Below are 27918 nucleotides of genomic sequence, written 5' to 3'. Positions count from 1 at the left end.
ACACATGCACACGTATGTTTATTGCGGCACTATTCACAATAGCAAAGACTTGGAACCAACCCAAATGTCCAACAATGATAGACTGGATTAAGAAAATGTGGCACATATACACCATGGAATACTATGCAGCCATAAAAAATGATGAGTTCATATCCTTTGTAGGGACATGGATGAAATTGGAAACCATCATTCTCAGTAAACTATCGCAAGAACAAAAAACCAAACACCGCATATTCTCACTCATAGGTGGGAATTGAACAATGAGATCACATGGACACAGGAAGGGGAATATCACACTCTGGGGACTGTGGTGGGGTCGGGGGAGGGGGGAGGGATAGCATTGGGAGATATACCTAATGCTAGATGACACATTAGTGGGTGCAGCGCACCAGCATGGCACATGTATACATATGTAACTAACCTGCACAATGTGCACATGTACCCTAAAACTTAGAGTATAATAAAAAAAAAAAAAATAAAGCAACAAGAAATATAGAGTTGAACACTTTACTTCTATAAGCATATAACTTTTAAAATTATATATGTAAAACATGAAGGACTGGAAAACCTATTGTGGAAATTACTAGTCCATGCAAGAATATAAAATTTCAACAGCTTGGGAATTTACTAGTACTGTGTACATTCCTGTCAACATGCCTCAGTTATGTCATAGTTTTTAATTCTACAAGAGTTTTAGATAGAGAATTAGTATTTATTGAGAACTCTTTTAGCATAATAAATATTTTATAATTCAATATATAATAAATACTTCACATTCAGAATATGTATCTTGGGAATGATTGAATGGCTGGTGAGCAAGGCAACGTCATGCCATACATTTAAAAATTCCTGTTGTTTCTTCTCAAAACAACTACTCTTTAGTTGGCATAAAAATAATAAGAATTTTGTTTTAGTAACAATATTTTTCACCTTCAGACATGTGGTTCACAAGAAAAGTGCACAAAAAGAGATTTGTGATATGACAGAAAAAAATATTTTAAGATCTCCTTTTTCTTCCCTGGTAAAATACAACTTAGTAAATGTAACAAATTAAGAAATACCAGTGAGTTAGAGAACAATTGGACAATAATTGTTTCTAAATAGAGTCATTATGAAAGAAAATAGTATGTCGGAGTCCAAAATCTTAATTAGTTGAGGAATATTTATAAATTTATAGACAAATTCTCTGTTGTTTGTGTTTTTAGCCTCCCAGAATTTCTCTTTTTTAATCATTATCATGATCTAGTTGTGCCATAGGCTTTGGTTGAATTGGAGGAGTATTTAGAGTGGTCATCTGAGATGTCCAGCATTCAGTGATGCACGAGGCCTTCAGAATGAAGAAGGATTGTAATAAAGCTCCCAGCAAGCTCGTTTGTGTGCTATGAATAGCTCACTAGGTGAAATACAGCCGATGCAAAAAGTACGTGGGTGGTTCAGGTGAATGAATTGTATTTTGTAGCTCATTGGATTTTTTTCCCCACTCCAAAAACTGCTTTCCCACTGTTCCTTTAACTGCGCCCCTGGATCGTGAAGTGTTGTGATGTAGTTCTCTTTTGTGCTCTGGAGTTGGAGCTATGAAAGGCAGATTCATTTATTGTTTAGTTGAATCAAAATGACTGCAATTCCACAAACAAATTGGACTTCAGTTAGGAGTGCTTTGTCATAAATAACGTTGGAAGAGATTGGATTTTCTCCTAGCTGATATACTTCTGCTTTACATTAAAATCGGCGTCTAAAAGGGACTGATTTATGACTGAACTGACTGATCACTGAGCAACACACACCTGTCCTTGTTCTGCTTTGTTTTTGCTATCTCTATTTTCCTAAAGCATATTCAGGAAAAGTTTATGGTAAGGGAAACTAATATTCTATTTTCTGAATTATTGTTTTCATTTTAACCTTCATTAAAAAAATCACTTCTATGATGCAAAACTCAGTGAATAATTCTTCATAATCTAGAAAGAAAACCTATTTCACATATTGGTTAAAGGCATTTTCCATGGTTGGGTCAGGTGAATCATATTTTTCACGTATAATGTTAGGACATTTTAAACTTTAACAACATGTTTTGCTACAGGCTGCAAATACCGTAGCAATACCTGCAAATATCTCTTTTCATTGACTGTAAAAACTTTTTTTTCCCACTGTAATGTATTTACTTCATTTTGTTTCAAGTTACTCAGTTCTATAAATCATCCAGAGACAGAGAAAATCTGGTAATTTCTTCCTTGGTGGAAAAGTGTATATATAAAATATATATACACACTTTATACTTATATAATATATATATACAATTTATACTTATGTATAAAAGTTACAGCACAATATACATTTGGCTAGACCCTTGGTACTTAACTACAAATGCCATAACAAGTTGCATTTTGTTTTCTTGAGTCAAACAATTCTGTGTGGCAGTTACATTGTATCAGTAAGAATCATTTCATGTGTAGGGTTGTCCTTGCCAAGTAGGTTAGGTTGGCATTAATTTTGTTAAGCATTTTATTTGGTCTTGTTTTTGTAAGCTCTAGAGCCAGAATTTGCATCTGTCTCTGTCTAGTTCCAGAGCATATGTATTTTCATCTTTGCGTATTTCTTGTTGTTGTACAAGAATAAAATTTTTACAAAGCAAATCATACTTTATGTTCAATACATAGAAGACAGTGGTGAATGTGTTTTTAAAGTGACCTTTTTTGGGTAAAGATCTATTTTAACTTCAAATTATTTTATATTATATATTCCTCAAACGAGTCACATCCATAGTGACTTGGAGTGTATTTTCAGATGCTTTAAATATATGTAATCTTATTGATAATATTCAGAAGCATTTTAAATTAATAGTTTTTTGAAAGTAAGATTTAAACGTAAATTAAGCACAATTGAAACATAATACAATATTTACCATTCGAACAGTAACTAAGTTACTGTTATCTTAAAGGTTTTCCGAGAAGGATACGGCCATGACAGTGTAGCATTTACATGTGTTCTGAGTGTTCATTTATTATAACTGTACCACCTGTAGTTTTAGATGCTCTGTGGTTTGCATTTTAAAAGCATTTGGTGTTTATAGCACCTGTCTTTCTAAGACATGGCCTGACTAGGTCTGATGTCTAGTGTGATGTTAAAAAAATCACATTAAGTGTGACTTAAGTATGGGGGTTAGAGTGGGAATGAAAATGAAAATGTTTAATTTTTCTGACACCAGACTAGTATGCTTCAGGGAGAAATTTAGCAAAGGTAATTGGGCAGACTACCAATATAAATTAGGTCAATAGCCTAGACCTACAAGTGCTAGCCTTTATAACATACTTGACCGCAACAAAAATCTGTTAAAAGAAAATGGGACTGTCCCTAACATGAAGTAATGGGACTGTCGTAGATACAACACATGGTACACTTTTTCCTTTTAATTACCATATGAGAACAAAATCAGTTTTTGCAGCTGGTTCTTCTTCGTTTTATTTGCCTTGACTACATCTCACACCGAAGGGGTTTGAAACATGACAGACAACAGGTGTGAATATGTATCTAATAATTGACTGCAGTTTCTGTTCTTCCTTTAAAAATTGACTGTGTTGTAAACATCTCTAACACTAATAAAGACAGCCTATTTTTTCTTATGTGTAAAATGCCTTCTAAGCCATGGTTAGATTGTATGTCTGAATCAAACTTAAATAAGTCAAGTTATTAAATTACTCTTTTTAGAAGAACAGTTTTTAAAGGAATGATGAGTTTCTGTCAGTTTAAGTGCAGCTGGCAAGCAGCCATTCATTATAGCCTAGTGTGACATTGATTTTTGACTAGAAGAAATGGAAACATAGCAGTAGCTATACATCCTTAAGGAAACATTCTATATTATTGATACCCTTTGTTTCCTTAAGAGCTGCTACTAAAACTCTATTCAAATTGAATTTTGATTGTACAAATGAGGAAATCTATTGTCAATGTCAAAACATCCATTATTGTGACAATAAGGTGGTAATGCCAAATTATTACTTTAGCATCTATTTCTACCTTATTCCTTAGGGACAAAAGGTGTTTCCTTAAGGACAAAAAGTGTTTCATTATAGAACACCTTTAAAACACTTTTAAAACAAGACCTTTTAAAAAGAACAACAGGAATTACAAAATACCACTTAATTACCTTTAGCAAGAACACTTAGGCTTGCTCATTGGGCAGATTAAATAGTCTATTGAAACAAAATCAGTTGATTTGGCTCATTTTTCCCCCTACATTTTTTCCAGTGATTGCTGCTCTCATCTTTTTGCCAAATTGATCAGAGTTGGCAGTAAAACACAGGCAGTTGAAAATGTGGGAGAAGATTAAGTTTTCTGGATTGCATAAAGGATCATCAGAGATAAAGAGATTACAAAGAATTGGTCTTATCAGGTTGATATTCTGCATCATGTGGTTGTCTGTTTTCTATCATAATCAACTAGACCTAAATTAAGAACCCTTGCCTTTAGAGAGTGTTATTTTTGTTTTCCAAATTTTGGTAAATATGATAGATTGAACCAAGGAGGTGTTTATAATTCGTGCACATTTTATCTTTGTCTTGTCATTAAGTATGAGAGCATTAAATTCAAATTTTATCGAAAGTTTGTGAAAATTAACAATGGTTTGTTGTTAATTCGTTTGAATAGACTTTGTTGAAATTAGGGCCTAGGAGATGGAATGCTGGCTTTTGAGGCTTGATCATAAAGAATATTATATGTGACATATGTGTAAGGAAAATAAGAGAAAGAGGTGATTTCAGGGAAAGTAAAGTAGTAGTTACTCATAGCGATAGTTTGGATAACAAATTAACTAATGTTGAACAGGATGTGGATTTGAACTCATTATTCAAATTGACAGAGACCTGGAATTAGTTCAGATTTACATATGAGAAAGATGGTCTGTTACAACAAAAACAATGTCCTATTCAGAGTGGGGCAGAGATATTGGAAAGGTTCCTGTTTCTTTGGGAATGGTTTTCACTATTGGTGAAATAGTGAAAGTGAAAGCTACTATTATTGCAATTATGGCAAGAACATTACATACTTTATCATTTAATTTTCAGTATCATTCTGAAAGGCAGTTGTTGTTATGCCTGTCTTACAGTTGTGAAAATTAGGGTTCAGAGGATATAATGAACTTATTCAAGGTCAAACAACTACTAAGTGGCAAAATTGAACTCAAGCTACTCAAGCTAGGTCTGTCTGACTGCAAAACTTTTACTTTTCCACACCCTATTCCAAATTATCAAAAAATATTAGAACTATTTTTCTATGTAACAAGTGTGTGTTAGATCAGCTTTCACTTCAGCTTATGTCATAACAGCTATCCTCATGCATGGATATTTTACCTTTTGAGGGGTCTTTTATCACTCTAAAACCTTTCTTTTTCATTATTTGTGATTGGGTCTTAAAAGAGAGACAGAATTATATTAAATTGACCCTGGAATCTGCTCCTTCCCTTAATAAAAAATCCATCTCTATAACCTTGTATTTGATGCTTTTGTAACTCTCCAATCTTCCTGGCTTTTATAATATTAACAGTTAGTGAGTGAGTGATACATCGTATTGTCAGTGAAACTTAACAATATATGTAGTAATTATTACTATTGTCTTCACTTTACAGATAGGGTCAAGTAACTTGCCCAAAGTCAAACATAAATAAACTGGTGGAGCCGAGATTTAAAACCTTACAGGTTCCATAGGGTGAATCCTTGGCTTTTCACCTTCTCTACCCTGTAATACATCATCTATTTCCAGACTTCCAGCCTGTCTTCTTCCTTATGGTACAGGATTGTTTTCTGATTACTCCAACTTTATGTGTCCTTACTTGGTCTTATGTTTCCATAAGCAATACTAATGGCAGCCTCAGAAATTACAGCTTGACATACCAGAAGACTGACCTTAATGTTTGAGAATAGGATATAAGACAATGCAGCTTTGGAGTCCATCTTCTTCACATAAGGGCTTTACTTCTAGGCAGCATAACATTAAACTTAATAAAATAATAGCCAGCTTAGTGCCAAATACTATGTTAGGTGCTCTTTGTGCATTCTTTTATTATTACAGCTACTTTATTGGATAGATACCATTATCACCATTTTACAGATCAGGAAAGTAAAGCTTAGGGAGCATAAGTAATTTATAGAGGTGTTATTTATCTTGAAGGCTATTTTACTTTAGAGCTCATGAGCTAAGGTGACTGACCTTGCATTATTCTCTGAATAAAGCCTCTAGATCTTAAACAGCAGATTGGACTAATTGAACCCTCCGAATGATGGTAGAAATTGTCCTAAAGTTTTTTTTTTTAAAGAAACAGATTATATACATTTATAAGGTGTAATTTCTATGATTATAGGTAAATATTATAGTCATAGTAATGCTTTATTTTAAATTATTTTTGCTTAATTTCTTCTATTTTGTAGTTTTTAAATCTTGCCTAAATATATGGTTATTAAAATTAATATTAACCATTAATATTAACAAGGTAATATATAGTTTATCTTAGTTATACTATGTTAAATATTGCCAAAAAATAACTTTTTGAAAGAAACAAATTATAAAATCATTCTTATTTAACTTATTTCAGATGAAGGTAAAATACATGTGAATATGGCATGCTAGTTTGTAATCTTCCAGTAAATCAAAACAGGACACAATACACAATTTTATGAATTATTCTTATAGGACATCAAATTGAATTAATTACTCAGTATCTAAGGCACAGGATAGCATTGTTTTCTTCTTCCTTTTACTGAATTATCTTTTCTAATTTTAATTAGCTTCAAAGCAAGGAATTATGAATTTAGTATTTATTTTGAGCCTTCTATGTGTGAGACATTATATCTGGGTGTGGAAATATTTATTCCATCAACTAGGATATTTAAGTTTCTTCTTTTGGGTATTATTTGTTCTTTTTTGTCCATTTGAAAATTATTATATATTCCGTGTTATGGAAACGTCACTGTTGTAAGTTCTTACTTTCTATTCCCAGAGAATGGCCATTTAATTGTATTAGAATGTTTCAGCCTAGATGGGGTTACAGGAACATGATTTGCCTTCCTACCAGAAACAAACAAAAAAGACCAGATACACCGTATGAAAGGGAGTCTTCAGACATTAAATATCAGACAGTTCAGGACAGTGATCCTTTAAGAATGGCAACAAATGAGGTAAGCCCTTTGATTGTACCAGCTGATTGCCTTGAGAGGTTTTTCCAGGGCCCAGCACAGGGAGGAGAACCCAGGTGAATGTTGGTAGTCTAGGGTTGACGAGACAGAGTTGGGAGTCTGGGGAAGTCCAGGTGGCTAGAGTTTGCAGGACAGAGTACTGACTGGAGAGAAGATGCACAGAGAGAAAACTATATAGATATGCAGAAGGTCCTCGTACAGCCCTCAGCTGAGGACCCATCAGTATGTGGGGAACCTACAAAAAGCTGGAGAAATAATCACCTCAAAAGAACACAGGGAATAGTTTTCAGAATTTATACAGGGCTGGGAATTATTCATGTTCCCATATCAGCCAGAGTGGAAAACCTCATAATTCACGAAGCATCAGATAGAATAACCAGAAGAATATTGCCTAGTAGTGGAGCATATTCACCCCTAGATTAAAGGCTGTGCCAGTTTTGCCTAACAAAGTTTAAAAGCCAACTTCTATAGGATTTGCTGTTCCCAAGTAACTTAACTGTTTTCTCAAACAAAGCTCAAGGATGTTCCTCAGGACACAAGAATATGTAGCACCCCAAAAGGTGAAAATCATGTTTGGAAGCTAGTAAAAATATTACTTTTAATGCAAAGACACAGGAAACCATGACACAAAATGAGGAGAACATCAATCAGTTAAAAAAAAACACAAATGAGAGAAATAGTAGACAAAGCATTAAAATAGTTATTGTCACATTTAATTTGTTCAAAAAAGGAGAGGAAAGATTGAAGACATTAAGCACAGAAATGGAAGATGTGAAAAAGACTTAAATCTATATTCTAGAGATGAATGTTACAGGACCTAAGATGAAAAAAATTTGCTGGATGGATCTGTGACAGTTTAGTCTACAAAGAAAGAAATTAATGAGGTGACATCATAACAATAGAAACTACCCAAAATGAACCACAGAGAGAATAATGGCTAATTTAAAAAAGAGACAATCAGTGAACTGTAGGACAATTTCAAGTGCCTCAGTATTCATGTTATTCAAGTTGCTGAAGAGGAGGAAAGTGGGAGAGTTTTAGACTGAAATATTTGAAAAAATGGTGGGAAAGAAAATTGATAAAAACTATAAACTCAGAAGAAACTAAAAAAACCCCAAGCACAAGAAGATGATACAGAGGCATATTATAATCAAACTAATACCAGTGATAATGAGAAAATCTTAAAAGAAGGCCAAAAAAAAGAGACGTATCAGGTACAGAGTAACAAAGATGGTTAAGAGTCTTTGCTTTGGAAACAGTGCAACACAGAGGCAGTAGAATAACATTTTTAAACTATAGAAAGAGAGAAATTATCAATGTGGAATTTTTTTTTTTTTTTAGACGGAGTTTCGCTCTTGTTACCCAGGCTGGAATGCAATGGCATGATCTCAGCTCACCGCGACCTCCACTTCCCAAGTTCAAGCGATTCTCCTGTCTCAGCCTCCCGAGTAGCGGGGATTACAGGTGCCCACCACCACGCTCGGCTAATTTAGTATTTTTAGTAGAGACTGGGTTTCTCCATGTTGGTCAGGCTGGCCTTGAACTCCTGACCTCAGGTGATCTGCCTGCCTCAGCCTCCCAAAGTGCTGGTATTACAGGCGTGAGCCACTGTCCAAGGCCATCAATGTGGAATTTTATACCTAGTGAAAATATCTTTCAAAAATAAAGATGAAATAAAAACTTGTTTAGATGAAGTAAAGATGAAAAAATTAGTCACTGGCAGACCTGTACTGAAAGATATGCTAAAAAAAGTTCTTCAGACAGAAGAAAAATGTTATCAGTTAGAAACCTGGACTATATAAAGGAATAAAGAACACTGAAAATGGTAATTTTCTCCCCTTACAGACTCTTTTAAAGTTATTTGACTGTTTAAGTAAAAAATAATAAAAATATATTGTGGACTTCGTGACATATATAGAAGTAAAATTATAATAGTAGTAGTGCAAAGGCTGGGAGAGGGGGAAATGTAAGAATACTGATGTAAATTTCTTATACTATATATGATGTGGTATAATATTACCTGAAGACAGTTCATGATAAATTAAAGGTATAAACTGTGAACCAACCACTAAAACAACAGTTAAAAGAATTATAGCTAATAAGTCAAGAAAGCAGATAAAGTGGAATAATATAAAATATGCAGTTAATCCAAGGGAGGCAGAAAAAGAGAGAAAAGAGGCTGAGGGCAGATAAAAGCAGTAGAAAACAAGTAGCAAAAGGGTAGATTCAAATCCAATCATGATTGTATATATCCAGGGAAAAAAGAGATTATCTCATAATGATAGAAGGGTTAGTTCATTAAGAAGGCATAAAACCCAGCATTTATGTACCTAATAACAGCATCAAAATACTTGAAGCAAAATCTGAAAGAACTTCAAGGAGCAAGACACAAATCCAGTTTTTGTTGGAGATTTAAATATTCCTTCTTAGTAATTGATGGACAGAGTAGACAGAAATAGATACAGACATAGAAGACCTGAACAACCCTATGAATCTGGTGTAACTGGCATCTGTATCATACAAAGAATATTATCTGAGTTTAATGAAATTAAATTAGGTATCTATAACAGAAAGACTTGTAGAAAATCTCCACATATTTGTCAATTAAATGACTCTCCTCTAAATAACCCATAGGTTAAGAAAGAAATAAAAGAAGAATTAAGGAAATACTGAACTGAACTGAATGAAAATGAAAACACATCAAGATTTGTGGGATGTAGCTAAAACAATACTTAAAGGGAAATTTATAGCACCATTTGTATTATAATGACCATCCAACTACATTACTTAAAGTTACTTGTTAATGGGTTGTCTTTTTGTATATTCCAAACAATTTCTGCTTGTGGGGAGAAATTTTAGCTACAGAATAAACATGATATTTACTTTGCGAGATGGTGCTACAAAACAATTGATGTGTAAAAATTATATTCTATAATTTTAATTTTTAAATTTTTACATTTGGACTTTCATTAGACATTGTTTGGTAAAGGTATATAATCATTAGACTATTGTTGGTAAGTTTTTAAGTTATTTCATGTAAGTTGAATGTTGATTTCATAAGAATTATCTTCTGTTGCTGAGTTCACATTGTAAGTGCTGGCACTAAATACCAATAAGCCAATAAAAGGCCAATCTGATACTATTCAAACAAATATATACTTACAAATCTGTACTTCTCAAATTTAAAATTCGTATTTTGGCAATTAATAACATTTACTCCCTGAATAAAATAATTATTGGTGACTTTTTTTCTTAGTCAAGTTTTTGAATAACCTTTCTGTGTTACGATTATCTTTTTCATTCATTTAATACCAGAAATCATCTCAGTGAAATTATTATATAGTCAGTTTGTCAATTACCACTGATTTTATATGACTATTTCCTCAAATTCTGATTTCCTTTTAAATGTTAGAGAGTATTTTGAACCTTACATTATTACAAAAAGCAATTTGAGGTCTTTATTTCAGGGAGTGAAATGTGACATTTTAAAAATGAGATCACATTTATTTATATACAAAAAGTATTTAACCATCAATTATATAAGGCCATTTTTACTAATAAACTATTATTTTAGAGATTGTATTTATTAATCATGCTGTAAAGGGATTACTCATTTTAAAAAGTGGCTAACTTATGTGCATGCATTGAATGTAATCTACGTTCATTGGATAAAGTGTACATTCATCTAGCAGACATTTATTGAGCATCTAAGATGAGTTAGGTTCAGTGTTTTCACTGGGAATATGGAGGAATTCTGACCTGAAGCAGTTTATAGTCTAGTAGGGGTAGGTGGTAGCCTGGCAAAGCAGAAATTGCAATACAGTGAGATCGAAGCAAGATGCATTGGGAGTACATCGTACCAGTATTAATGCTGCCTGAGGAGGAAGGTAACTCCTTTCCAGAGGAGCTGACTCTGAGAAGGGGATTGCAGACACAGAGAATGGGTAAATGTTCAGAATTGTTGGCTTACAGTGTGTATGAATTAGAATGGTAGGTGGGGAGGTAAAGGTAGCAGAGATAAGCTATAGGGTTAATATTTATCTTGTAAACAAGGAGAAACTGTAGAGTGAATGATCTAATCACATTTTCATTTTAATACTGTCATTCTGAAAACATCCTATGCGATGGAATGGAGAAGGAAGTGATGACTCAGAGTGTGAAGAGTGAAGAGTTCTTAGTATTTGTTATTGGTTAATTCTCTTTTGATTTCAGGGGTCAAAAATCTAATGTAACTTGGGCTAACAAAAAAGAAGTTAACAAAAGAATTTATTGGTTCAGAAAATTGAAAATTTCCATGTCAGATCTAGCTAACCTCAGGACTGGCCTTTGCAGTCCATCTGTGGTATCTGTGTTGTGTTACAGAGTTGGGTTCATTGCAGGTTATGACTCCTGAGTTCACACATACCTAAATGTTTTTCTTAAAAAAAAAAAAAAAACCCTCCAAAATGAATCAATATAGTGAACTAATTATTAATGTCTGTGTGATTTGTGGGCTATTTTTATTGGTGTTTGTGAATTCTTTATTCTCCTAATTGAATATTCTTCATTCTATACATGAGTCTAAGCTGCTTCTGGGAGAATATTATAAATTTTTTGGGAAAAATTCTATATCCTGACTTTTCTTTAAAGTTCATAAAAACAATAATTGTGTTGAAGAATCATATGTAAATTCATGTGACTTTTCTACACTTAAAATTGTGGAGAAAATACAGAAATACTAAATATTTATTAATCTAGTACACATTTATTAAACATTTCTTTTAAATTATGAGTGATACTAAGTCTCTATGTATGAAAGTAATTTTGTTTAATAGGGCTTTTATACTTGAGAACTCCTTTCCTGTTTTCCAGTTTGAATTGTCTTAAGATTCAGATTGACTTCCTAGATAGTGCACTGAAATTTGGCGGTGATTTTTATAGAAAAAAATTATTATACTTGACAGTTGTATCATATGATATTCCCTGAGAAAATCTCAGAAGAGTGTTTCAGTTATATTCGAATTGCCTACACTTATAGAGTTTTTTATGAAGATTATAATACATATTTATTCATAGTTCTCTGACTTTATGTTACTTCAGTACTCAGTCATCATTTATTCATTCACTTTCAGTCAAAAAATATTTACTAAGCCCCTAACATATGTGTTGCTCTTGGTAGATAAAATAGTCATGAATATTTTATCTCATGGGATTTACATTGTGAAAGACAGAGTAAACAAATAAACACACTAAGTTGACAACTGGTATGAGAGGGGAAAAAAAACCAGGCAGCAACCTACTTTAGAATGAGCAAGCAGGGAGGACCTCATTGGAGAAGTAACATTAAGCTGAGATCCGGTGCGTGATTAGGAATTATTTTTTCTTGTTAAGATTTGGGAGAAAGTCTAGGTAAATACCTTTAGTGGGGATAGAGCTTGCCTTTTTGGGAAAATCAAAGAAGACCTGTGGCTGTTAAGAGTGAAGGCTACAGTTGTGCAAGATGGGGTTTTGATATTATGATTTTCATTTCATAAAAAGTATTAAGTTTGTTAAGCACTAATGCATTAATTGTAGTAGCAGCAAATAGATGATGGTGTAAAATATCATAATAATTTACCTCCTGCATTTGAGAAATGGAGACAGATCCATGTTTCACTTTCTTGTCAGTTGTTAAGTACTTGCAAAGGCAGATAGATTAAGTAATCTGATTGCTGATAGGACATCTGAAAATTTATTGGTTTCAGTATTATAAAAGCTTTCTTTTTGTTTATATGTACACACACACACACACACACACACACACACAGCCACTACTTATTTACCTACATCATAGGGCTTCTGTACATTTTGTTGCCTTTGTCAGATGTCACTCCCTTCCCATTAATTTGCACCCATTCATTAGTTATCAATTCCAGCATTTCTTCTTCAAAGAAGTTTTTCATCATCCACCTTCCTCAGTAACCCTAAGCCTAAGACATGTACCTTTGTTACAAATATTCCCATATCTGTGCTTCCTTTCTTTAGATCATATCTCAGTTTGTAATTGCACACTCATTAGTGTTTGATTACTGTTTCTTGCTCTCATACACTCTCAGTAAACTGAAAGCTCCATGAGAGCAGCTTTCAGTTTAAAATCTGCATAGCTTGGCACTGAGCCTGCCACCTGTATGGTAGTCAATAAATATTTGGTGGAAAAATATTTGGTGGAATGAATAAATAAATGTATACCACCACCTAAGCCTAAAGTTTTCTATCAGACAAAGCTGACATTTTCCCATGTTTATTTTCTTTCAGGATAAACTATGGGATTTGATTATTTAAAGTTTTTTTGAAATTACACATAAAACACTTTTATGAACATAGTAACTGTCTTAAAATTAGGAGTAAACTAAGTATTTCATCTTGTTGCACTTCTTTCTGCATTTCTTCCCTTTTGAATCTCTTTATTCCTCAAATTCCTGTGTGATCTAAAGTATGGAAGACCTTGCTAGTGTTTGAATTGGTATCAGACCTCAGTAAATACTTGTGAAGTGAAGAAATGAATTATTTACAAGACAAGAAGCTGTTCTTCACATTAATTAAATTGGCTGTAAGAATGACCCAGCAATGAAGAATGCTGAGCACTAACTTCCCCATTTTCATGATTAAAACAAATGCCCTAGGCACGCATTTCTTTTTCTATGCCATCATAACAAATAAAGACCCTGTCACCCCAGCAACTCATTATTGTTTGTTTTCTATTTGGTGAAATCCGAAGAGATCTTCTGTGGTTATAGTTGGGAATTTATCAAAGCTTGCAAATCCCTGTTGTTCCATAAAGCTGAAAATAAACCATATGCTAGCCCATACCACACTGTCCAGGGTCTTTTTTGGAATTACATTTAAGAGCTGAGAAAATGTAACACAGAGATTTTTACCAAAGCTTACATAATCTTCCGTTCTTTACACTTGGGCTTTTTTCTGAGCATTTCTCCAATGTAACATTCCCACATATTTGGGCAGAGTTTAGAATCATTTTCCAACTAAGTGAAAAAATGATTCTAATTGAACTTTATCAAACATTTGCCTCTGAAATGGAAAAGTGTGGTGTGTACTAATGATATGAATTATTTTAATATATACGATAATTCCTTTTCTCTTTTAGTCAAATGTCCTGGAAATTCTTCACTAAATCTAATTTTATCCATTGTTGAGGTTTCTCCCAATGGTAAGTTAAGCACTTAAACCACACAATCACTTAAACCACACAATCAACCCTAGAAAGATGGAAGGAGACGGTGGGAATGTGAGTAGGGTGAGTTGGTGTGGCAACCTTTGGAACCACTTTAGCACATTCCACAGTACTTTTCCTATCAGAAACCAGGGATAATTTCAACCCTAAGGAAAAGCAATTACCTTGATCACCTGATTGTGATTTGCATACCTGAAACTGATAAAATCATTTCACATACTTTTATCATGTATCATGATACAGATTGTATCAATGGATACATACGTATCACTTACTATCCTAAGTTTCTGTTTCATGGTCAGGATACATTAAATACTCTCGGTATTTCCTTTCAAAGGGAAATTGAGGGTTATTAAATCAGTAGTTTTAAAAAAGTATTATAAAAATATTAAGAATTAATTTGTGTTTCTATTTGATTATATCTGTCATCAGTGTGGAAAGAAGTTACTTTGTAATAAAGGCAACCGCGTAGAACTGGATGTTTTGTAAACTGTTAGTGTGTTGGTAAATTGTTGGTATGTAAAATCCGGGTTGAGTATGACATTAATAGTAAGTGGTTAAAAAAACTAGCAATTCTGAGGTTTCGGGCTGATACACACACACACACACACACACACACACACACACACACACGCATTGCTAGTGTTTATTGAATTACCTCTTTGCACCATGTTTAACTGTTACTTCTTGGTCATTTTTGAAAGGTATAAATTATTTTACCTTTGTTTTTACATATATCCATTAATTTTTTTTTATAACATTGTAAAATACCTTTCACCTAAGATGGTGGGGACCCTTTGTTAACTCCAAGAAGATGGATAGCCATAGGATATGCTATATTTAAATGTAGTTCTTCTGCAAATAACTATAGAATATTTATGCATTTTTGACAAAGTTTCAGAGGCATAAATGCTGCCATTGCCCAATAGAGGAAATTTCATACAAAACTCACCAAACTTTATGTATGGTCAGTTTCTCGGAATGGATACTTCTGCAGACTAGTTCCCCAGTCTTCTTGCACTTCTAACACACACTTGAGAGATGGGACCTGTGGGTCTGTACTGGTCTTGGCCATCTGGTCTCAAGGACCATCAGGAAGCTGTCTTGGTTCTTGTGCTTAGAACTCAGTGTTTCCTGGCTTTTGGGAGGTATTTCCAGATTTGACACCTTTGATTTTTTTTAATAAAAGTTTTTCTTTTTGAGTCTCATTTTTTTTTAATGAGAACCTATTCATCTCCTAATACAAATTGATAGAAATAGACTTGACTTTATCAAGTTAAGTACTTGAGCCAGACACATGTTGTATTCCAGCCTGTGTTCCAAGTGCTCCTGTCCCCACCTTGACAGCCTTTCAGGTTTGTGGCTTTTATTTATATGCTATTGTCTTGTGGTTAGTACCTTTTCTTGAATATAGAGGAGTAGAATTATTTTGTGTTTCAGAAATGTTTGTTTTAAACATGAACATAAACGTATTTCAACAGCAGATAATCTCTTAATGAGGGAATTCTTGGTTGGCCCATCTGAAGTCAATCCTGACATTATTTCTGATAGATTTCTGTGGCCTATGGCTAGGTTTCAATGGAATCGGTTCTGAAATCACTACATGCTGTCGAAATCAAAACTTGTCATATTAGGTTCTGTAACAAATACAACTAATGAGACAACAGATTAATAGTAGAAGTGGTTTTTGAAATATCATTCCAAGGTATTGATTTACTCAAAATGTTATAAATACCACTCTGGATTAACTTTAAAATGGGTTACTATGTGATATATATATTTTTTGTAGATGCCAGAATTCTGTTTCTAGGAATTCTTTATTGATAAAATGTTAAATGTTGAAAGATAGTACATTTGACCAACATACTTTTGACAAACATTCTGAGCATTAGATGTTTATTGTGTGGTTGCCATATTAGGAGTGGTTTATTTCTGGCTTATGCAGAGTATGGGAGTAGCTTTATTAAGTGTTTCTCCTCAGTTTTTGTCTTTATAGGCTCTGAATTTTGTAGACACATTTATTTCTTGGGATTCCTTTTCAACATTGTCCTTTGGGACTGGCAAAGGCAGTTTTAGATAGATCTGGTTTCATATGGAACTGCTTCCTGTGACTAGTGTTTTCTCTTGGGTGCTGTAAAAATAACTAATCCTTATAGTCGAAGCTTAAAAGAAAACAGGGAGATATCCTATAATATATTCTACTTCCATCTTTCCTTATTGATTTCTGGGAACATGTATTGATTGGAAGAAGAAGTTTGGGAATCTCTTAAAGTAATACTTCGGGTAGCAAATGAAATATAGAAAATGGAGAAGGAGATAAAAAAGTAGTGGTAATGGAAGAATGCAGAATAGTGTGAGAAATGTGTGTGGGTGTAAATGGAGCACTGTATGGCTGTTTGCAAGGTGAAACCAGGTGGTGGTGTGTGGCAAGTGCAGCATTCTGTGCTACCAATGCCAGAGAATGATATCTGGAACCATTGAAAGCCCCTTACGCAGCTTCAACCCACCCCTTCTTATTCACCTGAGCAATTTATTTGTTTTCATTCTTTCTCTTATCCATTGCCTTCTTTCTTTATCTTGTTTCCTCCTATTTCATCAGGGATATGAATCCACCAATCACTTCCCCTTTTTACTGGCATTTCCAGTCTTGTCTTCTCCACTGATTATTATCTTGAACAATAAATTTGCTCATGTATTTTCTATGTAGCTCTCTCCATTCTGTCCCTTCGTATTATTGCTATATTACTTCCATTTCCTTCTAGTCAGTTTACCAAAAAGCATGTTACAATTATTGTAGACTCAAAGATACTGTACCTGATAATGCCCTTTTTGGGGAAATGAATCAAAGATCATAATCAACACTTTGTTTTTGTTGTTATTGTTGCCAGAGTTAAAATTTATTTCTTATTTCACTTCACAATTAGCTATAATTATGTTGCTATAAAGAGAAATTTTACATTGTCTCCCCCATTACTGTGGTAGTTGAATTGATCATCATTTAGCAGAAAATCAAAGAGCGCAATGATCAAGCAGTAGAATGACCTGTTGCTAGCTCTCAGAGGTTTAATTCCCCAGAAGCAGACATTGAGATGAGGATTTGTTTGCAAGTAATTTATTAAGAAAGTGAGAAACAGCCAGGCATGGTGGCTCACATCTGTAATCCTGGTACTTTGGGAGGCTGAGGCAGGAGGATCGCTTGAGCCAGAAGTTCAAGACCAGCGTGGGCAACATAGTGAGACCTTGTCTGTAAAATAAAAAAATAAAATAGTAAAATAAAATGTAGCTGGGCATGGTGGCACATGGCTGTAGTCCAAGCTACCGAGGAGGCTGAGAAAGGAGGATTGGTTGAATCTGGGAGGTCGAGACTGCAGTGAGCCGTGATTGTGCCATACTTCAGCCTCGGTAACAGAGCAAGACCCTGTCTCAGAAAACAAAACAAAACAAAAAAAGGAGTAATCAATTAGGGAGTGACAGAATGGGAAAAAAAGGGAATGGGGAAGAAGAGGTATGATTTTAGGCAAAGTCTTTTCAAGGATAGCTTTAGTCTAAACCTTCATGAGAGCTCTGGAGTATGAATTATTTGTCTGTTCAAACCCAAATTAAATGAGGTAGATGTTCATACTTCCATCCCTACCAGCCACTGCCTAAGGATGATAAAGGGGTACAGGAGGGGAGATGCTTATCCCCAGTTAGGGGGATATATAAAGTGACTATAGTAGCCTGAGGGCATAAGAACACTTAACAAGTCTTATCTTTTGGAAGCAAAATCACACTGAAACAACATGCAAGTCAGAATATGTATTGTAATGTGCACAAGTCTTCTTAAGGAACCATGTGATGGAATTGGATAATTTACTTTGCACTCCATCACTCCACTTAACCACCCATTCTTTTTTTTTTTTTTTTTTGGCTCTATCTCACCATTTTGACTGGAAAAGGGATGAGTATTTTATAGCACTTTTGATGGATAATTGTGACATTCTTCTTTGATATTATATTGATATTATACCAAAACTCAATAAGTAGTACTTTCCTATAGACTATTTACAGTGTGGAATCTGATGCCATATCAATGAACTTTTTGTATTTTCTCACTCCAAAATCCATTGGTTTATCTTGCACCTTGAATAAATCTTTTACCCATGCATGTATTGGTCATTTGGAAAATATAGATTCATTGGGTTATATATCTTCCAAATGTTTATGCATTTTATTATACAGCATAAACAAATCCCATTTATTAATATTACTACTGCTGCATCAGAAAAGTCATGATATTAGTAAGCTCTTACAGTGGCAATATAAGGCTTTCTTATAACTGTCACAGTGACAGATGTAAGTTTTTCAAACTTCTACTTTTTGCTTGAAAGCTTTAATGTTATCATTGGTAATGAATACTGTCAGTTGTTTTCCTTGAAGTGACAGATTAACTTTGTCCATTTTTGTGAAAATGTCTGCCAAAAATCCAAGTCTAAATAATAATAGCTTATCTGTCAGTTGTCCCTTTAAGTAAAAAGTGTTTGGTGGAAAAAAGTGGCTAGTTCAGCTTGCAACGGAAACAACCAGGAGTGCTGTTCCTTAAACAACCATTGTACTCTAGTTGCAGTGAGTGCTTTATGTGTATTTGCCATTTCACCACACAGAATAATAAAACACATTTAATTTGAGATATAATGGAACTAAGATTTTTACTCCTTCATCGAAGACATTCTTAAATAAAACAGACTTTGCTTGCTTTAATGACAGTGCATGGCAGTGAAGAGTACAATGACTCAGTAAAGTTTGGTGCCAAGGCTTTGATTTATGCTAAGCTGCTAGCAGTTCTCCCACCAGTGCTTTCATATCATCTGTGAAAATATTAACATATCAAAAAGGGTAAATAACATTTTAATATCATTATGAAAATAATTTTGCCCTCATGAACTCCTGAAAGGTTCTCATGGATCTCAGGAGTCCATTGAGTTCACTTTAAGAGCCACTGCTTTAAAGAAAACAGCAACACACAGTATTCTGCATCTTGTCACCCTCTGTCACCAAGTATCTACCTTAGTCTTTGCACACAAATTGCAATCATCATTTAGTTTACTACTTGAGTAATTTTGGAAGATGGTATTTAAAACACCTTTCTTCAACTTCCTTAGATACTTCTACTTTTAACAGGGTTCCTCTCTAAAATGTCATTAGCAGGTGTTTATATTTTCATGGAAATTTTCCTGTGACAGATAGACTCACACATGTACAAACCATCATTTGCTGAGGCCATTAAGTTAATTTTCCTTAATCTATTTGTTTCAAAGAATTTTAGTATATTCATTTTACCAGTATACTCTTTAGTTCTGAAAGGGTCAGAATAATGACATTCTCACTTGTGGTTCTGAAATGCATTTCAGTTCACAAAGCACTTCCTCATGCATCATCTCTTTTGGCCATCACACCAGTCCTGTGAGATTTGCAGGGCAGTGTCATTATCTCCACGAGTAAACCCAGGTTGAGAGAGGGGGAAGTGGGTTGCCTAAGGTCTAAGGCCACACAGTGAGTGGCAGAACAGAATTGAGATGCTCTGTTTTCTATATTCAGTTTCCTCTTGTGTATAGTGTTCTTTCTTTTCTTGTAACAATTTAAAAGGCATTCCATATTTTTTCCCTAGTCTATGTAGCTGGTTTCTCTTATCATTTCATATCATAAGATGCCTGCACAGGCTGTTGACTTAGATAAAAATATTGTGTAACTGAAGAAATGGAAGCTACACATAGGAGCTATGGTCTCAGCGAAGGCCTGATACTGCTCACAATTCTGTTGTAACCATGAAGGTTACTTTCTTTTAAACTTAATAAATATCAGCCAACCCAGGTATGAAATTTTCAGCTGCAAGAAGAACTGCAGGAAACAGTTAAATATACCCTATAGCCAATATAAGGCAAAACAATACAGAGAATGGAGATTTGCTGGGTAATTAAGCATGTTACAAAGTAGACTGACTAATCTATAATCATATGCTAGGATTAGTAATACAAAAGGCTGACATACGTGGTGTGAATTAATGAAAAAGGGTTTTGAAGAGTTTACAATAGCAAAGATGGTTGCATATTATAACAATTAATTAAACATTATTTTATTTCTTTGTGGTATTCCTTTCTGGCCAAGAGGATTGAACACTTCCTAGAGTTCATTGTGCTTAATTAGACTTTAAAAAATAATTTTTCTTAATTTGTTAGAAAATATTTTTAAAACACTGCAAATGATAGAGAATAATAACATATATCCATGTTTGCAGCATCCAGTTTTATCGTATTTTAACATTTTTCTAGCTCTGCCTTTCTTAAAGAAAAAATATTACAAAAATAATTAAAACTTACTGTATACCTTGTCGTGAGGCTGTGTCCATCACTACCAAGAGTTAATTATCATTCTGAATTTACTGATCATTTTTCCATAATGCATATTTTTATATTTTGATACATATATTTGTATTGATAAATATATATAGTGTTTTTCATGTTTTAATAGTGTATAAAATTTGGTATCATTCTATGTCATTTTGCAACAGTTTTTTTCTTCAATGTTGCTTTTGAGATCATTCATATTTATATATGTAACTCTGATGTAGGTATACAATGTGTAGTATTTTTTAGTGAGTATGCCATAATTCATGTATCTGTTGTACTATTGATGGCTGTGTAGGTTCTTTTCAATTCTTGCTATATGTACCGATATCAGGACATTGTTATGTATACTTCCCTATCCACATGGACAACAGATTTTTTAGGGCATATAACTAGAAGTGGAATTGCCAGGTCTTTGGTATACATTTCTTTAATTTACTAAATATTGTCAGCTTATTTTCAAAAGTAGTTTTGCTATTTTATACACTTATACATTCCTTACTCACTGACGTTCTTATATAAGAATGTTTCATTTTCAGCTCACCTCATAAAACTTGGTATTGTTCGATTGTAAATTTTAATATATCCAAATATCATCTCCTTGAAGTTTTATTGCACATCTCCCTGATTACTACTGAGGCTGAACATCTTTTCATATGCATATTGACTATTTTCCCTCTGTGAAATGTTTGTTTCTATCCTACTCATTTTTCTTTTTGGTCATTAAGCTTTAAAAAAAAAATACTGTTGATGTGTAGGTGTCCTTTTATATTCTGGATAATAATCATCTGTTTGTCATAAGTCTTGAAAATATCTCGTCTGTGGCTTATCTTAATTTTGCTCATGTGTTTTTTTTGTACAAAAATTTTAATTTCTATGTGGCAGAGTTTTTTTGTTTTGTTAGGCATAGGTATTTTTCTTGTTTAGGAATTTTCTTACTCTTGTGTTATAAAGATATATTTTTCTATATTTTACTTTTCACATTAGGTCTAATCAATCAGGAATTGAGGTAGGATTACAGATCAGGAATTAGAGGCGGCATTATACCTCTAATATATCTACACATCTTGCTTTTCACAGTTAGGTCTTACCTGTCAGAAATTGAGGTGGCATTATAATCAGGAATTAGTGGTGGCATTATACATCGGTGGGGGAAGACAAGAAAAAAGTAAATCCCCATTTACTTTGTAATTAGTCTTGGGTAGGGATTTACTTTTCCCCCATCATCCCCCTGCTGACTGTGATGCCATCTCTTTGATATTTCATGTCCATGCTGGCATGGATCTGTTTCTCTGCTCTTTGTTCTGTCGTTTTAGTCTAGCTGCGTGTCTTTGGCCTAATGCTATGCTATTCTAATAATGATAGTTTCAGTATCTGGCAGGAGACGTTTTTCTACCTTGTACTATCTTTTCATAGTTATCATTGTTATTCTTGGCTCTTTGGCCTTATATATGAATTTCAAGATTACACTATCAACTTCTATGAAAAACTCTATGGAATGACTTCAAATTGATCTATTAATTGCCACAAATTTGCTGTATTTATATTTTTTTCCCACATGTGAACATGGAATTACTTTTCATTACATAGAGCTAAGGTTTTATAATTTTCCCCGTAATGTGATTATACACATTTTCCCCTGTGTACCGTATGTTTTTATTGTTGCTAGTGTGTATAGGCTCACGTTATCTCTCTCTCTCTTGCTCTCTCTCTCTCTGTTTCAGTATTGAAATGCTTGTTACTTGTCTATAGGAAGTCTGTAGTTTTTGTTTGCTAGTCTTAAAACAAGCTACTTTTGAAATCTTCTAATAATTTGCTACAGAATCCATTAAAATTTTCTATTTTGGCAGTCATAACGTACAGATATGGGTAATGCTTTCTAATACATATTTTTAAAATTTTTCAAGTAGTCTTGTGATATTGACTATTATCTCTAGAGCAGTATGAGAGAAGCAGCGGAATAGATATATATCTTTTTGTTTTTATGTTAATGGTAATGTGACTAAAATTTTAGTTTGTGATATATGCTGTAAGCTCTTAAGAGATACTCTACATTACTCTGTATTTGGGTAGAGATGCTTCCTTTACTCCTTGTTTGTGAAGGTGTGGTGGTTAATTTTATGTGTCAACTTGACTAGGCAACAGGATGCTCAGATATCTGGTTAAACATTATTTTAGGTTGTTTCTGTGAAGGTGTTTCTCGAAGAGATTAGCGTTTAAAATGGTGAACTCAGTAAGCAAATGGCCCTTTCCAATGTGGGTGGACATCATCCAATCTATTGAGGGCCTGAATAGAACAAAAAGATGGAGGAAAGCTGAGTTCATTCTCTGCCTAACCGTTGAACTGTAGCACTCATCTCTTGCCCTCGGTTCCCCTGGTTCTCAGGCCTTCAGACTCATACTGGAATCTATACCATTGGCTCTCTGGTTCTCAGGTCTTCAGACTACATCACTGTCTTTCCTGAGGCTCCAGCTTTCAGTTGGAAAATTATGGGACTTTACTTCCATGATCACTTGAGCCTATACCTTACAGTAAATATATGTGTGTGTATATCTATCAGTCTCTGTCTGTCTTCTCTCTCTCTCCCTCTGTATCCATCCATCCATCCATCCATCCATCCATCCATCCATCCATCCATCATGTTTCTCTGGAGAAGCCTGAGTAATACAGAAAACTTTTTATCTCAAATGAATATTTAATTTAACAATTATTTTTCTTGCATTTAATATAATAAATTTTCTGATATTAAACCATCTTTTAAATCTGCAATTAAATCTAGCTTTTATGCCTCCAAATCTTTTAAAGAAATTTATTTTACATATTCAGAAACACCATCTGATTTGTTTTAAAATCTGAACTTGCTTTATAGGATTTATTTTTTTGTCTGGTAACCAAACAATGTTTTATTCTTCATCTTTTATATCGTATAATACCTATAAAATATTTTACTTTATAATACATGTAAAGGAATTATAAGTAGAAGCTCAGCTCTGACTTTGAAACTGATTTCATTTTTTTCCTTTGTGAGCCTATGCTGTTTTAATATGGTGGGAATAGGGTGTGGTAAGTGGTTTGTTCTTTAACAGTACCTGGAAAAATGTAATATTAGGTTTCAAATGGCAAACATTGCAATTACTTTTGCACTAACCTAGTAGATAAGTGACATAATTCTATAGTGGAGCTTGGAGAAATAGTGTGAGCATAAATTCGTAGTCTGAGAATTAGGTTCCAAATTTATTTTGTGAAATTTCTTTTTCCACTAGCTACTTATTGGCTTCTGATAAAAGAAGTTAAAATAATATTCCCATTGCTTGAATCATTCTATCACTACTCTAAGATCACTTTCTTGCTTATGGATACCTCATTTACTTCCATTAATTTATTGAAAAAGCTTTTCAGATTAAACACAATAGAAACAGGTTAACAAAGGTAAAAAAACATGATTAATTTCTTGTTTTATAGACCAAAAAAATTAGTGGTACTGTTTAATTATTGCAGTTGAATTTGATTCAACCAAACAGTGATTTGAGATCATAGAATACTGACAGCTAAGGCAAAAAGACAGCCATATTAAATTAGATGTGATTTCATTATTTCATAAGATAATGCATCCTAAGAAATCATAATAAAATATGTAAGCAAAAATAGAGACTCACTTAATTTGAATAATATGTGAATTAATTTTATGATATCATTAGAGCTAATTTTTATGTTTAGCTAGCCCTGTTTACTTAAAATTTATCCACTGGCAAATACAATAGCTCAAACCAATGCAGAAATATTAATACCTGCATTATTTGTTTAAAATTTAGGGTCCTAGGCCTTATTTCCAGAGATTCTGGTTTATTAGGTCTTGGGAACAGTCTGAACATCAGCATATTGATCATCACAGGTGGTCTTAGGATTACACTTTTAGAAATAGTGCCTCAAACAAAGAAAAAAAGTTATGACTTTACTGTATTTGGGTCATTATTCTAGATTTCAAAAAGAGGCTTTTAAAATTTTTTAGTAATTTGGCATTTCAAAGTAGAGTAAGTTAGAAATTTCCATGTAAAAATAACTTGTGATGGTTAACAGCTAAACAGCTAAACCCAAATAGTATAACATACATCAATAGTTGATTTTGTTAGCCACGTAGTCTTTTTCTTTCTAGCTTAATACCTCTATTTCATGCCCTGTTTTCACTCCTTCACAAGTTTTAGTGGCTCAACATAGATGAATTTTGATCTTGTATAGATATTCTAAGTTGTGGATGTATTTGTTATTTCATATTTTAAGCAGAACTCTGGGATTTTAAGAAAAGTATTTATTATTTTGTATTAGAAGAGGCAGGCCCTTGATTTTCAAGATTTATTATACTTTTGTAATAACTGGCTGTAGTCAGGGGCTCAGATATCAGAACTGTTCATGGGGAAAGTAATTTCCACTGATGTCATTTCTAACCAAGTGAGTGACATTGATGTACGTAGCCCTGGCCTATAACTGGTCAGCCTGAAATAATTAATCAGAAAAAACAACTATTTTAGTACCTGACTGAATTAAAGCCTTATTGGTAATGAACTAGGTTAATTGGAGTTCTCCCATCTCGAGACTTTCACAACTGTCTTTAGGTTAACGAAAATATTTTAGATCTAGCTGAGTGTATAGCCTTGGATATTTCTGTGATTTCTTTTAAGATCATATGGGGAACGTTTTATTTACGTTGCCTGGGGTTTATTGGTGCATTTCTCTTTAACATTGTAATGGGAAAAAAAAAACTGATAAAACTTTTGAAAATATGGTGAAAGTTTCCACTTGTGTTTTATTAAATGTAGGCGATACAACATAATAGCATAGGTACATGCATTCTTTATTTGCAGCTCTTTCAGGAGGAAGACATTAATTTTCATAAGAAATATGACATTTATAAGAATTGAAAAGTTTAAAAGGAAGTGCACAGAAATTGGTAAGACTTGTAAAACCTTGGTTTACCAGGTCTGGTGATGTCTTGCATAAGAAAACTTCAGAACAGAGCAGATACTTGGGACACTTGTTTATATTTTGCTATTTGTTTACTAAGACCATAAATGCTAAGCTAAACAATTCATATATAGGGAAAGAGTGAATAAAGAGAGAAGATTTTATTATTTTCCTTAGGATTCAAATTTTCTGTCCATCATAGAATCCTTTGATTTTTACTTCTTATGAAAGCACAAAAAGGCAATAGCATTTTCCGTAGCTCATTATTTTGAAAAGAAAAGTGAAGAACATGAAAATACTGCTCCTGTTGATTCTAACACCCACCTCCAGAGAGATACCGAAGACTTTCAATTCATAGTAGAGATCTAATCTTGCCAAAAATACTAAACTTAATTTTTATATTAAAAATAAGATTTCTAGAATATATAGGGAAGATGATTGATAGTTATTTCATGTCAGGCAGTTTTTCTTCCTTGTATTAGAATTTCATTCATATTGATTATTGTTTAGTATCATAATTTTGAGGTAAAGGATTACCTGAAACTATTGTAATTTGCTTCTAATCAGAATATAAAATATACTAGTTTTGTTATTGTTTATAAAAGATAAAGTAAAGGAGATTGGATAATTCTGTCACAATTCTCTTTCTGACTCAACGGACGTTATTAGCTGTACTCAGCATTGATATCCCTTTATTCCTTTGCTTACAGTATATCCTAGTTTCTTCATGTAGCTACTCTGCTCTGCTGTAGGCTAAATGCTTCAGGAGAAGCTGACCCTAATCCAAGCTCCATGAGTGGGCTTTATTAGTCTAAGGTGAACACCATCTTTCTTACCACTTCTTGTTTCATGTGAAAAGGGTCAGGTACCCACTTAAGCGGACTGATATTAGGAGTAGTGCTGGTGCCTCCCTGGACAGGTCTTCCTTTATTCTCACTGGGAGAGTTTCTTGAATTGATTCTCCTTCTATTCTGCTAGGCTCCTGGCCACCATTCTAACACCAAAAGGAGAGCTAGCTTTAAGATAAAGAATTACTACAGATTGCAGAACAGAGAAAAATATTCCTAACCAGGAACATTTTAACTCCACTGCATATTGTGTGTGTGTGTGTGTGTGTGTGTGTGTGTGTGAGAGAGAGAGAGAGAGAGAGAGAGAGAGACGGAGGGAGAGAGAGAGAGATCAGAAGATGAGGAATGTCTTTGATAAGAATTTACACTGGCAATTTTTTTTCCAGAAAATTCCAAAGGGAAAATTAAAATGTGCCATTTAGGGTTTTATTTCAAGTATTTATATGGGCAAAATCACTTGCATGCATTTGATAAAATGTCTCTTTTTCTTTTCCCCCACCCTTCAAAGGTGTTATTTTATCCACTGCAAGACTTCAAAATGGTTATGTGATTGACTGAATATAGTCATAAAGCCAAGCCTTCTGAAGTTGAAGGGCTTATTGCCTTAAATGTTATTCTTTTGATTATATGGGTAGTCTATTTGCATTTGTTAGTGCCTCATATGATATAATTGGATGTCTCATCTTTTGCCAAAAATGTTAGAATCTGAGAAACCATTTATTTGAAAATTCCACTTTAAGGGTACAAAATTCAGGTAGACAGGAGGAATATGGTATTTCTTTTTAGTTCTATTGCACAGTGTGGTGAATATAATTAATAATAGAGTACTGTACATTTTAAAATTGCTAAGAGAATAAATTTCAGATGTTCTCTCCACAAAACAATGGAAATATTTGAGGTGATGGATGTGTTAACAAGCTTGACTTTATTATTCTACATTGTATTCATAAATCATAACATCACTTTGTACGCCATAAATTTATGCAGTCATAAATTGACAATTTGTGATAAAAATATATTCCAAAACTAAAATTCAAAGCAAGTTTAAGATGTGGAATGTATCTTGAACTATTCCCTCTTTTTCTAGGAAAGAAATAAAATACTGATATAGTTAATCCTTCATCTGTTTCTTGCTATCCAGCTTGACAGGGAACATTTTAAAACAGTGCTCTTGAGAAGAGACTATCTCAATGAATATCTACTTGGGACCTCCTCAAAGGAAAGTGAGATGACAAAATTGGTGATGTATGTGACTCCATACTCTAGTGACAGAGAAGATAATTACGGTGAGGTATCTGGAATGATCCAAAGGCAAATTGGAATTTTCCAAGAGAGA

General features: G+C 33.6%; 1 protein-coding gene and 1 long non-coding RNA gene across 26 annotated transcripts in view; both read left to right on the top strand.

The window, feature by feature from the left end:
- Nucleotides 1-27918, top strand: part of IMMP2L (inner mitochondrial membrane peptidase subunit 2) — an 899849-nt gene that overhangs the window by 318502 nt on the left and 553429 nt on the right. The gene's annotated exons all lie outside the window — the stretch shown is intronic.
- Nucleotides 429-27918, top strand: part of LOC124901725 (uncharacterized) — a 71230-nt gene continuing 43740 nt past the window's right edge. The window contains exon 1 of the long non-coding RNA XR_007060477.1: nt 429-27918. This exon is cut by the window's right edge and continues 32447 nt beyond it. This is a non-coding gene — a long non-coding RNA (uncharacterized LOC124901725).

The sequence above is a fragment of the Homo sapiens genome, chromosome 7 (genome assembly GCF_000001405.40).
Source record: "Homo sapiens chromosome 7, GRCh38.p14 Primary Assembly".
Lineage (NCBI taxonomy): Eukaryota > Metazoa > Chordata > Mammalia > Primates > Hominidae > Homo > Homo sapiens.
This window is presented reverse-complemented; position numbering and strand designations above follow the sequence as displayed.